This window comes from Homo sapiens, chromosome 6 (genome assembly GCF_000001405.40).
Source record: "Homo sapiens chromosome 6, GRCh38.p14 Primary Assembly".
Classification (NCBI taxonomy): domain Eukaryota; kingdom Metazoa; phylum Chordata; class Mammalia; order Primates; family Hominidae; genus Homo; species Homo sapiens.
Window position 1 is genome coordinate 28,052,226 of NC_000006.12, and position 17,503 is coordinate 28,069,728.

At 36.3% G+C, this 17,503-nt stretch overlaps 1 pseudogene across 1 annotated transcript; it reads right to left on the reverse strand.

Moving 5' to 3' along the window:
* Positions 1-1,002: 1,002 nt before the first annotated feature.
* Positions 1,003-1,977, reverse strand: OR2B8 (olfactory receptor family 2 subfamily B member 8 (gene/pseudogene); annotated as a pseudogene). Its single transcript, NR_174096.1, has one exon. The product of NR_174096.1 is annotated as an olfactory receptor family 2 subfamily B member 8 (gene/pseudogene) (transcript).
* Positions 1,978-17,503: the final 15,526 nt, after the last annotated feature.

The window sequence follows — 17,503 nt, forward strand, 5'->3', positions numbered from 1 at the left end:
CTGAATAGCTTCACACTCAAAGAGGTTAAAACTATTCCCAGAAATGTTTCCCTAATACAAAAGAAAAAAAAACTTGCAGGCTTTTGAAGACTTAGCAGATTGTATTCAGTTCAGAATGGTTAAAGTAAATCCTCTAAACAATGTAAATCAATAAACTTTTTACAAAAAAAAAAAAAAAAGCAAATTGTGTCCACTCTCTCTGGTAATCTCAAGAACTCCATCCCCTGATCCCTCTGATTCAAGTCATTCATCTTCTCTTTTCTACATTTATGCATATCCCACCTTTCTAGTAAATCACATTTCCAAGACATTTCCATACATTTCCCAGAGTCTTTCAGATCAGGTTTTAAAATATGCTATGATACTAAAAAGGAGGAAGAAATTTCTCAGCTATGCAACACAAAAGCATCAGATTGGAAGTCACCTGCAAAGGAAATGATTAACACCAACCTATAATGTGGTCTTCCCTTCTCGATGATGCTGGCCAAATCAGAACTCTGGCAAATAGTAGCTGCTGAAATTTGCGGAATAGGAGATAAATGAGGGTCTTATACGAGTTGCTATATACTGCTTACTGAGCTAGTAATGTTTTTAGCAGGATGCATATGATCTATTTAGCCTGATTATTATATAAATAAACCTAGAATATACAGACTGCAGTCTGTATATTATAATATAAACAATAAAATTTAAGCCAGGCGTGGTGATGGTCACCTGTAGTCCCAGCTACTCTGGAGGCTGAGGTGGGAGGATCCTTTTTCAGCCCTGGAGTTTGAGGCTGCAGTGAGCTATAATCACGCCACTGGAATATGAAATCAACATCTCTGGAGGGTGAAATAAATTCATGAACTTAGATTTTAATTACTTGTTTTCCTTAGAGATTTATGTAAAGAAATTTCCTGGAGAGTTGCAGGGGAAATTTTGGATGACACATGGAGAACGCATACATCTTAAGGGCTCTGGCATTCAAAGTTCCTCCACTGCAATGTCTTTCTCTCCAAGTCATCTGGAGTCGTAGTTCTTCCAGAGCACCTTCTTAAGTGCTCCTTTCACATCCTTGTTCCTCAGTGTATATATGAGGGGGTTGATCATGGGTGTAATGATGGTGTAGAAGAGAGAGATGAACTTGCCCTGATCCTGAGAGTAGTTGTTGCCGGGCTGGAGGTAAGCATAGATAGCTGTGCCGTAGAACAGGGAAACCACTGTGAGGTGGGAGCCACATGTCCCAAACACTTTTCTCTGCCCTGTTGCTGACTTTATCCTCACGACTGCCCTGACAATCTGACTATAGGAGAATATGATTAATGCAACAGGTACAAGAAGAATAATGACACTGACAAAGAAGAGTTCAGATTCATTCATAGTAGTGTCAACACAGGCAAGCTTGAGCAATGGAGGAACCTCACAAAGAAAGTGTTCTAATTTATTTCTTCCACAAAGTGTTAAAAGCAAGATGAGCACCGTCTGCAATAGGGAGTTGGCAAAACCAATGACCCATGAAGTAGAAGCCATCAGCACATACAGACAAGGGTGCATGACTACTGTGTAGTGGAGGGGCCTGCAAACAGCTGCATAGCGGTCAAATGCCATCACTCCTAAGAGAACGCATTCTGTAGATCCCAAGCCTAGAGAGATGTACAGCTGAACTACACAACCACCATAGGAGATTGATTTGTCTGCTCCCCTGAGATTAACCAGGAGCTGTGGAACAATGCCGGTTGTGTAACACAGATCCAAAAAGCTTAGGTTGGAGAAGAAAAAATACATAGGATTGTGAAGATGTGGGTCCAAGTGAGATAATACAATGATGGTTTTGTTCCCCAGCAAAGTGAAGATATAGAAGATCAAAAAACCACAAAGAGGACTAGCTCCAGCTGAGGCCTGTCAGAGAAACCCAGTAGGATAAATCCAGTGAAAGAACTTCCATTTTTCTGATCCATTCTTTGTTAGCACATGTTTTCTGTCAAACCCAAGCATTTAGCAAATTTTAAAAGGTATCTTGTAAAACAAAAGAAAAGGTGAACTCTATCATTTGTACAAGACATGGCCATGGGATTTTATATGCAACTACTTTAATAAATGAGGTACTCATTGAGACCAACATATACCAATTTTGTTTACATTATTACAAAAAGTAACATAATTGCTATTTAACACAGGAAAATTAAATAAGGGACCTTGTGTGTGTACCAGTCATAGGCATAAAATGTCTGTTTCAGATTGAATTTAATACTATTTAAAGTATTACAAGAATATATGTGCATTTTAGAGAAAATGGAGATGAGGGAAAAATGGAGAGAGATCAGAAAGAATGAGAGGCGGAGACAGAGGAGAGAGGTTATTTTATATATATATAGTTATATATATAATTATATATGCTATATATAACTATATATATTAGTTACATATGACTAATATATGTTATGTCTAATATATCTAATATATATTATATATTAGTCATATATAACATATATAATATATATTATATATAAGTCATATATGACTTATATATAACATATATATTATATATTAGTCATATATGATATATGTAATATATAATATAGTAGATATAATATCTCTAATATATTAGATATAACATACATTAGTTATATATTATATATTAGTCATATATAACTTATATATAATATATATTATATATATATCAAAGTTATCAAAGAGATAACTTACTTATAGACATTATTTAGGGCCAAATACAAACCAAAATGTAACATTCTGTGGAGGAATATGAAGACAAATATTGTTACGTCACGCTAACAATGGCCAAGACACTCCCTTAAATACATTAAAACAAACAAAGTTTTCATGTCTTTAGATATATTAATAAAGTAACTTTCCAAACAGTATCTTGCAGGACTGTTTGACAGTTTCCAAATACCTGAAATAGGACTTTAAAAATATTTGGTAAGTACTATTTGTGGCCTGCTAACCCAGAATCAGGAGTGGACTCCTGATAATGGCTTTGACACTTAATAGTAACATCCCATTGATTGCGAATATCCCAAGTAACCCAATCATTAGAAATGTCCAGTATGCTTCACTGAGACAAAAGTACAATAGCTGAATATTGACTAATATATATGACTAATAAATATTGACTAATATATGACTAATATATAATATACATTATATATAAGTTATATATGACTAATATATAATATATATTATATATAAGTTATATATGACTAATATATAATATATAACTAATGTATGTTATATCTAATATATTAGATATATTATATCTACTATATTATATATTAGATATATTATTATACCTACTATATAATATATTATATCTAATATATTATATATTATATATTATATCTAATATATTATATATATAATATCGAATATATTATATATTATATATAATATCGAATATATTATATATTATATATATTATATCCAATATATTATATATTATATATATTATATCTAATATATTATATATTATATTAGATGTAACATATATTAGTCATATATAACTAATATATATTAATATAATATATATAATAGATAACATATATTAATATTAGTTATACATAACTAATATATACATAATAATTATAGTTATATATAATTATATTATCTATAGTTATATATAACTCTACACAACTGAAATTACATATACTTCACATGCTATAGAATATAATAAAAATATTCTCTAGAATGAATTCGCATATAGACATAGGACCTAGAATGTGCTTATACAAAGGATCAAATTGAATTCAAAATATCACCAGTAGAGCTACATATACACATTTTGGTAGAATTTCCTCTCTACCTAATATATTCATGAACAGTATCCTGATTTTTCTGTATTATAGCAAAATAATGAAATGCTCAATCAGACAGAGTCTGAAATTCATTGAATTTGCTATTCAATTACAGTGCTTATCTCTTGCCCCCAACATGCCAAAATTATCATACCAATTTAACAAGAATTCCAAAAATGTATTGCCTATGCACAGTCACCTGAAATTACTACTCTAATATCCAGCGGGCAACACTTTCCTTTTACCTCTATGGATTTCACTTTCACATATTACCAACAACCAGAATGACAGGAATTCCTAAAGGAGGTAGAATCATTCACTATCAACATTCTAATCAGGATGAGCATCTTAAAAAGTTATCAACTAAATACATAAATACATAGAGTTTAGGACAGGTGAATTGTCAAAGCAATGGCAGGTCAAAGACATATAAAACGAAAAGTAAGAAAATGTATTAAGAATAGTATATTGGGTTTATAAGAATCTAAAAACATCTGCCTACATTAGGTTAATTTTATATTTGCACCCTTCTGTGAGCTATCTTGAAGAATTTGTTATACTATACCAAACACATTGCCAGCTTCAAGGTCAGTTGATTATCATTTCCATACAGCTCCTTAGTAGCGTATGAGCATGTCCCACACCGATCTAAGCAGCATCAAAGATGAGGAATTCAGTTTCATTACATCAAATGGTTAGAAATACAATAAAACCTTAATTCTTCTAAGACTTTCTTTATATGAAACAGGTTTGTATGTAGAGCCATTAGAGTATGAAAGAAATTGATACAAAATAGGCATAAAATAAATGTTAATAAATCTGAATAAGAGAAAAGAAAATGTCAAATGGAAGAAGAGTTGGTGGTAGGGAGGCCACTGGGAAAAGTTCTCTATCACTGACATAAATGTCTTCCTCATTCCACAATTTATATGCAAAGAAAACAACAACAAAAAAAATCAGGTGTCTTAAAATGTACAAGTACACGTAATAGAAATTTAATACATCATATACAGGAAGCATTAGTTAAACTGATCTCACTGCACTCTCAATCCCAAAGCAACAATGTGTACAAGTACTTATTTGGCAAAATCCAACAATATTTAATTTTTTTAAACTTTCATATTTGAAGTTTGAAAAATGTAAAAAGTATCCAAAAGTTGAAGGCTAAACTGATATGCTACTTACAATTAATAATATTATCTGGTATTGCTGAGTGTTTTGTATGTTCTAAATCATTTACATGCATAATTTCAACTAATTTTTCTTATTACCATCTCTTTTTACATATAAGGATATGGATTGAAGCACTGAAGTAGCTCATCCAACATTACTAGACCCCTAAATGTTTGAAAACAAATCCAGATCCCTTTGATATCAAAGTCCATGCTTTTAATCACCACACTACTTTATCTTCAATCAAAAGTATATATTAAAATTCAGAGGAAGCGATCACACATAACATAGAGGAGTAACATTTCACCATATTTCACAATCCCCTTAATTTCTTATTAGGTTGTGATCAGTGATAGCCACAAAAAAACTATGCACAAAATTCTAATAAAAGAATTTGTTATAAAAACAATAGAAACTATATAGAAGTCCGCCCAATGAAAGGTTACATTGCCCTGATTACACCTGGTGAGGAGAGTGAATAAAAACAAACAATGCACACATACAGAAATATAATCCACTCATCTAAAATCAACTGCTGGCAAATTTTCAAAATGTATCTAATAAAAGGTGTTCATCAAAGTGAAGAAGGGCAAAAATAAAATGCTAACTAATCCAAGGAAAAACATCAAGATAATCATCACTATAATAAAATAATGGCCAGGCGCAGTGGCTCACACCTGTAATCCCAGCACTTTGGGAGGCTGAGTTGGGTGGATCACGAGGTCAGGAGATCGAGACCATCCTGGCTAACACAGTGAAACCCCATCTCTACTAAAAATACAAAAAATTAGCCGGGCGTGGTGGCGGGTGCCTGTAGTCCCAGCTACTCAGGAGGCTGAGGCAGGAGAATGGCATGAACCTGGGAGGCGGAGCTTGCAGTGAGCTGAGATCAGACCACTGCACTCCAGCCTGGGCAACAGAGTGAGACTCCGTCTCAAAACAAAATAAAATAAAATAAAAAGTAATAATAAATTTTAATGTTATAATATCAATAAGCACCAGGAAGACATATGATAAAAGATCACAACCTGGTGAGATGATGTCATACAAACCATTTGCTGTTTTACAGGATAATATACATTAATAAAAGAATGCTGAATGCTACTGATCTGACAAGTGTAAAAATTGATATGATTTTTACACTTGCAAAATTATACCAGGCAAAGAAGACACTCACTAGAACAGAACAAAAAATGTGATTCTTTCTGTATGTTACAATTGTTTCCAATGCCACTCCAGAGACTATGCTAGTGGGTAATAGGATACTAATGTCATATTCCATCTTCCAACTTTTAAAAAGTTTCCTCCTTACAAATAGGAAAATTGTTTTCCTTATTAGCACTGGATATGGGAAAGATGTAGCTGCAAGGAGTCTTTCATTGATTCCCAAGTGTATCCTGCTGATTTAAGTCAAAATGTTTCCTCCCTGCTTTCCTACTTGGCATCCAGCCCTCCAAAAGCAGTTTGCACCACAACAAAAGGAAATAATCCTCCAAGAAAAGAAATATATTTTTTAGCTAAGGTTAAATGAGACTTTCTTTTTTTTTTTTTTTTTTTTTTTTGATACGGGTTCTCACTCTGTTGCCCAGGCTGAGTGCAGTGGTGTGATCATAGCTCAGCACAGCCTCGACCTCCTAGGCTCAAGCGATCCCTCCACCTCAGTCTGCCTAGTAGCTGGGACCACAGGTGCGTACCACCACACCTGGCTAATTTTTGCATTTTTTTGTAGAGACAGGGTTTCACCATGTTGCCTAAGCTGGTCTCAAACTCCTAGGCTCAAAGTCCTCAGCCTCCCAAAGTGCTAGAATTACAGGTGTAAGCCACCAAGCCCAGCCTCATTTTATTTTATTTCTACTACACTGAAGGAATTGTGGAATTTGACAAGAAATCATCATCTAAGTTTAGATAAGGGCCAATTGACTTAATGCAGTAAGAATAATAGATTAGACAAACCATATGAATAATACAACGGGAAATTACAGACACATTCATCCTAGGTACAGAAACAAAGAATGGTGTTTTTAGTAACCATCACCTTATGACATGATAGGGAAGTCCTGTGATAAAAAAAAATTACACATAAATGATTATGTGAGATACAAAAAAAAAAAAATTGAAAATGCCACAAAGTGAAGATAATATATATGTAGAAAAAAAGTTTAAAATAGGTAAAATAAAAATAATTAAATTATATAAAACAAACCAACATGGCCTTCTATGTAAAAATTACCATAAAAAAGAATATAATGGGAAATGACATATCACAAGAATATAAATTTTACAATAATAATTAAAGAATAGGCATAAAATTAGAGAGGTTAAATGCTTAGGACTGACATGTCAGATAGTGAGATAGTAGTTTACAATGCACAATAACTATACAATACTGACATACAACTCTACACGTTAACGGAAGATAAATATTTCATTTTAACTAATATTCAGTATGCAAATTATGCATTTTAAAGGCAAAAGATCTCAAGATAATGTCTATATTTAAGATATTTTAAGTTATATAATATTCACTGATATATTCGACACACAAACTGCCTTGTCCAGTTCCTGAATAAATCCTGAAAAAGTGCTAGCAAAATTTTAGCCTCAGTACTGACTGAATCACTATTGCTTTAACAATGCTTCTGCCTCATAGGTCTGAGCTGATCTCAGATATGTTAGGACTGGCCTCTGATGGCAATGGAGTATGCATAAATGAAGGGAAAATGAATTTATTACTGTATTGGAAATGACAAGTTTAAGGAGAACATAGAAAATGAATATTAAGTAATTATAATGTTACATAATTATGTAAGAGAGACAAACAGAAAGAATGTAAGCATACAGTCTAATACTTTTACATATACACATACTATTATTCTATTACTGAAAGGCATATTTTATTACAGCTAAATATGATAGAATTTTAAGTTATTTTCCATATGTGCATACTGAGGTATAATGAATGTACTGCAATAAAATGAAATATCTAGGAATGAAGCCAATAGGCTTCTAAAATCAACAATTAAATTTAGGTCTTATATTTGGTGAATTTCTGTACTCTGTTACTTTTGTCAATCAACATATATGCTAACTGATTTAACTTTCCCTTTCAAGAACCACTGAATGTGAAAATAAGCTAACTCACCAATTCTTAAAGCAACCCATAGATGAGGTTCCATTTTACTCACCTTCACCAACTTTATCTATGGGTCCTAAGCTATTTCCCAGGACCTGTGGATCCTAAGCTCATTTCCAAGTTGTTCTCTTTAATACAGTGCTGAAGATTGGAACATAGATACCTAGAATAAGGAAGAAGGTTGTGTGCCATGAGTACAATAGATTGATGATGCCAGCATTGATTTACTCAGAAGTATGTCTTGAGCAAGAAGATGCTTTCTCATGATGACTTCACACATCTTCACCTGGTATTAGAGATCTGCATTCTGCCCACAGGAGGTAGGGAGATGAAGGAAGGCAATTTTGAGCTCTCATTATTATTTCCTGAATACAAGGACGTGGTTATGTGACAAAGAGATCCTTACGAGCAACAGGGAGAGGGTGGCATGAAGCTGCCCAGTGGCTGGGTTGGCACAGAGAGAAACAAGGCTGAAGTCTCTAGGGAACGTATGTCCTATGCTGTTAATTAGCTGATGTCACTGAGTTGTCCAGGGATGACAATCCTCAGGGAAAATGAAAATAGGGGAGAATGCCAGAGAATATCTAATCTGTCTTTTATATTATTTCATGTGTTTGACAGCGGACAGATAACTCCCTAGATCTCCCCAGCGATCTTAGCTGTTGTCGTTGAATGGCTTAGGTATTTTACAAAAAAAAAAAAAGCAAGATAAGATATTTTTTAAATAACAAGATTTTTTCCTCACAATTGCAAAAAATATATATATATTTAAAATAAGAATTAATTCAGTTACCTAGTATTCAGTATAAATATAGAAATGCATTTTTCACTTAATTTCATTCATAACCAATTTATAAGGAATCACAGAGTAATAATTTAGGCACATTCAAATCTTTAAGATCACTATAATTGAGGAAACCACCACATTTACTACTAAACTTCTAATGTGGCTACGAAGAAAAAAATCACAAATCCTCTATAACATTTTTCAGGTTATATCCAAATTCTTGATTTTAAAATGAAACTTACATGATTTGTTTGAATTGAACTAGGATAGCCTTTGCATTTAAGTTTCAGTTTCAAGTGATTCTGAGTTTATCAGGATAGTTTTAAATAATTCCTAAAGAAAAAGTAGAATGAAGTTGATGGGTATTTTGTCTGTTGAAGTCAAGTTTGAGGATCTATTAATCTTTTTTCTTTTCTTTCTTTTTTTTTTTTTTTGAGATGGAGTCTCGCTCTGCCGCCCAGGCTGGAGAGCAGTGGCGCGATCTTGGCTCACTGCAACCTCTGCTTCCCGATTTCAAGCAATCCTCTGCCTCAGCCTCCCGAGTAGCTGGGATTACAGGTGCCCATCATCATGCCTGGCTTTTTTTTTTTTTTTTTTTTTTTAAAGTAGAGACAGGGTTTCACCGTCTTGTCCAGGCTGGTCTTGAGCTCCTGACCTCGTGATCCACCCGCCTTGGCCTCCCAAAGTGCTGGGATTACAGGCGTGAGCCACCGTGCCCAGCCAATCTATTTTCAAAACAATTTATCTTTGTTCCACTAAACAGGCAAAAGGCAGACATAAATAACAATGTCTGACTTTGGAAAGGTTTGGCCTTAAATGTCAAGTGCAACTTCAATTTAAAAACTCCCTTTTTCCAGACTGAAACACATTTTGTTAAGAGCAATAGATGATTACTAACTAGCAACATAAGCTAGCTCAAAGAAAGACACTTAGGTTTGAAGCATCTTAGTTTTTATTAGTTAGTTGTACAAGCATAGAGAGCTTCTGTGATTAACTTTCATTCCACAGCCAGCTGCTTTCCAGATATTCATAAATTCCAGGTTTCTTTATAATAGCCTAGAGAGATAAATTATCTCCTGCTAAAAATAGTCTTAGATTAGAACTTTCTCAGTTATCTCCCTACTAATTAAATCCCATCATAATATTTAGAAGAAGGTCTTGTAAAGGCCAGTACTGCTTAGGGTGTCCAGAGGAGGGAGGGGATTTGACCGCTGTTAACTCTTTCCTTCACAATTCACCCTTGCTGCTGGAAGTATTTATTGGCACAATCATACTGGATAACAGTTTGGCATTATCTAGTAATGCTGACTAGCAATTACATTCCAAAGTTAAATATTCCCTAAAGTGATACTTGGTCATATGCCCCAGGAGACATGTACAAGAATGCTCATAGCAGCATTGTTTGTATTAGTGAAAAACTGGAAGCAATCCAAATGCCCATCAGTAGTAAAATGGGTAAATTGTGGCATATTCATATAACAGAGTACTATACAACAGTATTAGTAAACTACAGCTACACAAATTGAAACAGATGTCCTTCACACAAAAATGCTCAGCAAAAGGCGCAAGTCTCTTGATATAAGTTCAAAAATCGGTAAAACAATGTTTTTATAAATGCAAACATAGGTGAAAAATTTATATTCAAAAGCAAAAAGAAGGGCCAGGCTCACACCTGTAATCCCAACACTTTGAGAGGCAGAGGTGGACAGATCACTTCAGCTCAAGAGCTCCAGACCAGCCTGGGCAACATGGCAAAACCTTGTCTCTACAAAAGATACAAAGATTATCTGAGCCTGGTGGTACATACCTATAGTCCCAGCTGCACAGGAGGCTGAGGTGGGAGGATCACTTGAGCCTGGAAGGTGAAGGTTGCAGTGAGCCCGAGACCGCACCAATGCGCTCCAGCCTGGGGATTGAGCCAAACTTTGTCAAAAAGAAAGAAGGAAGGGGAGGGGAGGGGAGGGGAAGGGACTAAAGGGGAGGGGAGAAGGAAGGAAGCAGAGTTTTCACAGACTGGAGGTGGACACTCCTTGCCCTTGTGAGGGTCTTGAAAACTCCTTCCAAAACTATTTTGTCTCTGGAAATTTGCTGAAACCTAAAAATGATTACATATAGTCTCATGGAGTAACGACTGTGAACTCTAAAAGCCTAAAACATGTGAAAAGATCCCATAGACCACATGCTACATTTCTATCATCCCCGCCTAACACACAGGTTCAAATACTCATATGCACAAAACAAGTACTTAAGAAAGCTCCCGGGCCGGGCGCAGTGGCTCACGCCTGTAATCCCAATACTTTGGGAGGCCGAGGCGGGCTGATCACGAGGTCAGGAGATCAAGACCATCCTGGCTAACACAGGTGAAACCCCGTCTCTACTAAAAATACAAAAAAAATTAGCCGGGCGTGGTGGTGAGCGCCTGTAGTCCCAGCTACTCGGGAGGCTGAGGCAGGAGAATGGCGTGAACCTGGGAGGCGGAGCTTGTAGTGAGCCGAGACCACGCCACTGCACTCCAGACTGGGCGACAGAGCAACGTCTCAAAAAAAAAAAAAAAAAAGGGAAAGAAAGAAAGCTCCCAAAATTTGATTTACTATATGTTATTTGACCAATGAATGGCTGTGTTTAGGTTGCTGAATATACGAGAAACCTTAAAACAGTTAATTTTTTTTTTTTTCTGTTACCCAGGCTGGAATGCAGTGGTGCTATCTCAGCTCACTGCAATGGCCACCTCCTGGGCTCAAGCAATTCTCCCTCCTCAGCCTCCTGAGTAGCTGGGATTACAGGTGAACGCCACCACACATGGCTAATTTTTGTATTTTTGTAGAGACGGGGCTTCACCATGTTGGCCAGGCTGGTCTTGAACTCCTGACCTCAGGTGATCCATCTGCCTCAGCCTCCCAAAGGGCTGGGATTACAGGCGTGAGCCACCACACCCAGCCAGTTAGCTCATTTCTATTTTAACATATTAAAATTTTTACTGTTGGTCATTTTGAGACCAATGCTATAATTCTTATATAATTAAGTTATGATAATTAATGACATCTAAAATTAAAAATTGTAAACATGAAACTGACAATCACAATGAGAAACTCTTTAAATGGACAGCAAGCTGACTAAAACATTAAGAAAAGTTGATTGCCACATTTTGCTGATCATTAGTCTCTACCTAGTAAGTGAGAGTGGGGGCTTATTCAAAGGAATTGTAAAAGATATGCCATAGTTCTAAGGAAAGAGCTTAACATTGGAGTCTGCATATCTAGGTTCATATCTTGGCCCCATTGTTTAGAAGCTATGCCACTACAATAAATAATTTAACCTCCCTATTTCAGAGTATGCGAGTATGCACAATTGTAAAATAAGAATAATATTGTCCTTCAGTGTTGTGGTAAGATGAAGAATGTGGAAATGCACTATGAATTGTAAAGCATTATGTAAATGCAAAGAACTACGAGCATTTCTGGCTAAAGTCACACCTTTTCTTCATTTTCCTAGGTCACCGTCAATCATGGCATGCTATTAGCCACTCCCTCCTTCAAGGTGTCAGCAGGGCTATGCTTTCTGAAGGCTCTAGGGGAGAATCTGTTCTACACCTTTCTTTTAGCTTTTGGTGCTGCCAGAAATCTTTAGTATTCCTTGGCTTGTAGACACATTATTCTAATGTCTGCCTCTGTTGTCATATAGTGTTCTCCCTGTGTATCTGTGTCTGTCTCTGTTTTCTTGTCTGATCCTTTATAAAAAGTTGGGCTGGCCGGTGCAGTGGGTTACAACTGTAATCCCAGCACTTTGGGAGGCCAAGGTGGGCAGATGGCTTGAGCTCAGGAGTTAAAGACCAGCCTGGGCATTATGGTGAAAAGCCATCTCTACTAAAAATACAAAAATTAGCCAGGCATGGCGGTGCGTGCCTGTAGTCCCAGCTACTTGGGAGGCTGAGGTGGGAGGATCCCTTGAGCCCAGGAGGTTGAGGCTGCAGTGAGCTGAGATTATGCCACTGCACTCCAGCCTAGGTGACAGAGTGAGACCCTGTCTCAAAAAAAAAAAAAGTTGGGCTATAACTTCTTTGATCTTTCCCAATATAGCTCTTAAGCAACCACCCTACATGAATCCTCCTCCTCCAGTAAAGCATACTCTGTGCTTAGACTTTTTCTTTTTCTTGAAAAGCTCTCCCTACTCATCTCCATCTAGGCAAAGATTCACATTCTGCAATGTTCAGCTCAAGTTCTATTATTTGGAAGCTTACCAAACCAATCAATTTGTTCTCATGTTTCTCTGAGCTCAAACACAATAGCCTACCGCATTAATTTGGCAATTAATCATGCATCATCTTTTTTAGTTTCTTGTATTCTCATTTACAACTTATTTAACTTATTTGCTCTTTGTTTTTACTTGTCAATTCCATTGTAAATCTTCTTAGAGTGAGGTATATAGTGATTTATTTATATTTCCTGTAGCATTTAGCAGACACAGGTTCTTAAAAGTATTTATTTAATACTACGTGGTTTAACAATCTCTTTCAACAGGCATAACTGGATATAAAATTAGAAGCTATCTTTATTCTCAATTCTCATTCTACACAAAAAGGAAACCCTTGTCATCTGACATTCTTCACCTCCAACAATATAATACCAGCTTACAATCTTCTGTAGATTTAAATTAAACATCTCTTCTTGCATTATTGTGCTCATGGATCCTAAAAACTCAAATCTCTGACCACCCCCACAATTCCAAGCTCTCCCTTCCTGCCTGCTGTCTCAGCTCATCAAATTCTCTCTCATTCCACCAATGGACCAACCACCTTCTCCCTGTTCTCTGGAAGTAGTTCTCAAAACCAGCTCTGCAGTTCCCTTGTCAGGATGGTCAGCAATTGCTCCAACGTCAGAAGCTCAAAGCTCTGCTCCTGGTGTGCATATCAGACCATGGCCACCTACAAGAAAGCTTCCAGAGACCCTAGAAGAGGACTCATCAAATTGCCTAAAGCACCAGCACAAGATCTCTTGCCCAGAAAAGCTCCACTTCAAATTATATTAATATTCCCAGGTGTTCTCTTCCTTTATCTTTACTATTGGAAGTCTCTCTTATTTGAAAGAAAAGTGGAATCCAGGGTTTCTGTGCTCGTTGATTTTAATGCCATTTATAAAATGGCTCCTAGAATATGGAATCTAGATTTCTGGGAGATTCCTTCATGCACTATTGTTGAGGGACATTCCTAAGGCAAGAAATATCATTGTTAATATTGAAAAATCACAAAAATTCCTACTGAATTTAAAATAAAATTAAGGTAATTTACTGTAAATGAAATGTGGCTATAAAAATCAAAGAAGAGGTGAGATGACGGGGAAAATGAAGTTAGGGAAAAAAACAATCAACTCTCCCCCCGAAAAAAGAGCACTTGTTACCCAACTACAATTTTAAAAAAATGACTCTAGTTATCCAACTGTCAAAAAAGTAAAAAACACAGACTGACAGAATGAACTGGAGTCCTGAACAGACATAAGCCCAGCAAGGGTTTCAAAGAACAAGAAAGGAAAAAAGTACATAATTAATATTTGATTTTTTTTTTTTTTTTTAGACAGAGTCTCGCTCTGTCACCTAGGCTGGAGTGAAGTGGCACGATCTCGGCTCACTTCAACCTCCATCTCCTGGGTTGAAGTGATTATCTTGCCTCAGCCTCCTGAGTAGCTGGGACACAGCCATGCGCCACCACGCCAGGCTAACTTTTTGTATTTTTAGTAGAGACGGGGTTTGACCATGTTGTCCAGGCTGGTCTTGAACTCCTGAGCTCAGGCAATCCACCCGCCTTGGCCTCCCAAAGTGCTGGGATTACAGGTGTGAGCTACTGCACCCAGCCTAATATTTGATAATTAAATGAGAATCTAAGAGGGTCAAAACAATATTCTGGCAATAAGTGGTAGTTTCTAATAAACAGCAAGCACAACACAGCCTTACCAGAGTACAAATGTACAGAGAAAGAATGTGATGTATTAACTAGACCTGATTCCAGAACCTTGTTGACTTGATAAACCATGACCATTAAAAAAATGACAGAGCAGTGCCAGACTCAGGGAATACCTGCGTTAAGCAAGTGGAAGGAGATGGAAGGAAGTCGTTTTAATTGAAAGCATTTTGAAGATAGTGAATGAAGGTCTTTGGGGAAGATACTAATTTATCTAGTATTTGTGGTGCCAGGTTTCTCTACCCCCCAAAATAAACCTGAATAATTAATGGCAGCAGATTAAACTCAAGAAGCTCTGGATTTTACTGGGAGAAGGAAAGAGAGGTAAGACATCTTTGCCTTTATCTTTCCATAGCTTACTACAGTGCTGGCACATCATATATATTTCAATACATACAGGTATTCGATACACATTTCTTTAAGTAGTTAATTTATTACACAATAAAAGATCAAAAATTGATAGCTGGTTATCACAGCTAAAGAAGAAAGGTAATTTGAATACTATGAAGAAATGGAGATTTTCATCAGGGACAAAATAAATGTTTGTATATTATATGGTTTGGCTCTGTGTCCCTGCCCAACCCTCATCTCGAATTGTAATTCCCATGAGGGAGGGACCTGGTGGGAGATGGCCTTGCTAACACTTGGTTGCAAATATTAGATTATTCAATAAGAGAGCCTTTTAATTCATGTTAGGGATCATCTCCAAAAGTGCAAAATATGTGCTTTGAAAAAGTACAGCTAAAAATCTAGGAAATTGTATATAAAACAAACATAAGAATACTCTAAAAGATGGAGAAAAGAAGGCAGACTGGCTAGAGATATCAGGACCCAAGGAACAACATTGTGGTGATTTCCTTTTCTTTTTGTCTTTTACATGACTGGACTGAGTGCTGAAGAAGCCAGGATCCAGGAAATGTCAATGGCCACAGACCAAAGAAAGCACCAAGAAAGAAAGCACCAAGGATTCTCTTGACCAAGACTTTCTCTAGCCAAAGGACCAGGAAAGGAGTAGCCTAGAAAAACAGTCAACTTTTAGACAATCCTTCCTAGAACCTTCAGACCATTTAAATCCTTGAATCTCCCTGAGGAATTGTTTGCTAGGTACATTATGCTTACAGTCACAATTGGGGAAGCCACAAGGGAATGAAGTAATTTTTACTGGAGTTGAGGGAGCTTATCAAGATTGAGTTCCCAGGAGCTGCAAAGAAGCTATAAATTTTAATGTGAGGGAGTCCTTTGATCACTCTAGCTCTCACTGCACCAGATATACCCTGCCCAAGAATCATTCCATCCCTCACCCTTGTGCCTCCCAGGGGGAAGGGCAACATTCTCCCCTTTTTGTATTTTCCATTCCCTCTGAGTGAGACTTGGAAACTAACATGCCTGCCTGAGAGCACTGATATGAGCGTCTGGTAAGTACAATGGGAAGTGAGCAGGCTTGGAGAAACAAGGAGAAAGCATGTCTTAAACAAGTTTAGGCTTCACTCAAGGTCAACAGGCATTGCCTAAAATATAGTAGGTACCTAATAACTACTCATGGGATGAATGAATGAATTGATTAATAGCAGCCAACTCTGTGAAATGTGAAATCCTAGATGCTGTGGTAGCTTAGTGAAGAGTGGGCTAGATTTCAAATCAAGAAGGCTGAATTCAGATTCTGGCTTTACTAAAACTCTGTTTTAGCAAACTAATGAAGATATGTGATATATATATTAGAGTTGTGAGGATTAACAAACTGAAAATATTTATTTAGTGTGGCATAGAGTACTTGATAGTGGTAACTCTTGTCTTTACATTTTTTATATCTTTGTAAAAAATATACAGTCATAGAAATTATTCAGCTGATTTCGCGTACTTTAAATTGTTGTATCATGTTTCCAACAGGGAAAATATTTGCTTTATGGAAAACTGAGAAAGAGGGGTAATGTCTTCACTCTCATCACTACTGCCACTACCTTCCTGCACTAATGAGATCAATAAATACTCATGATCCTGCACCAAAAGTATTTCTATGTGTCTATACTCCTTTTTAATGTGCCCTATAAATTACTGAAAAGCCTTTTAATTTTTCCAGGATATTTGTTCTCCAGAGTAGCCTTTTATACATTCTCAATGTTTGATAAGTTCTGCAACCTAATCATACAAAGAGTTAGGATAAGAGATAATAATAGGCCTGGGTGAAAAAAGATAAAACCTGTAGTTGAAAAAGCTGAGTAAATGAAGCCTGAAATGCCAATGAGTATGAACTTGGCCCAAGGTCATGAACAAAAAGGAAGATACTTGTGTCTTCAGAACTGAGATTAGAAAGAATCCAATTTGGTAGAGAAGAAAGTCAAAGGTGCAAAGGTGGGAGGAAAAATAAATAAGTGAAAATCTCTTTAGATGGTCAAAGATATTAAGCAATGAGTCATAGTTGAAGCAGCATTCTGTGACTCTTTTCCCTTTTTCTATAAATCTACTTATTCTTCCCTCTCTGCAGGCAGGTTTCCTCTTTTATTCAGCCTATAGAGCACAAAGTGACCATAGCTCAAATCTTTAAATTTCATGCCTCCACTGTTCAAGAGATAACCCCATTTTACTTGGCTATTCCCCATCTCCCTCAAAGTCCCCTGAGTGAAAGGGCAGAGACTTTTATGAAAGTAGGGAGAAGATGACAGGAGCTG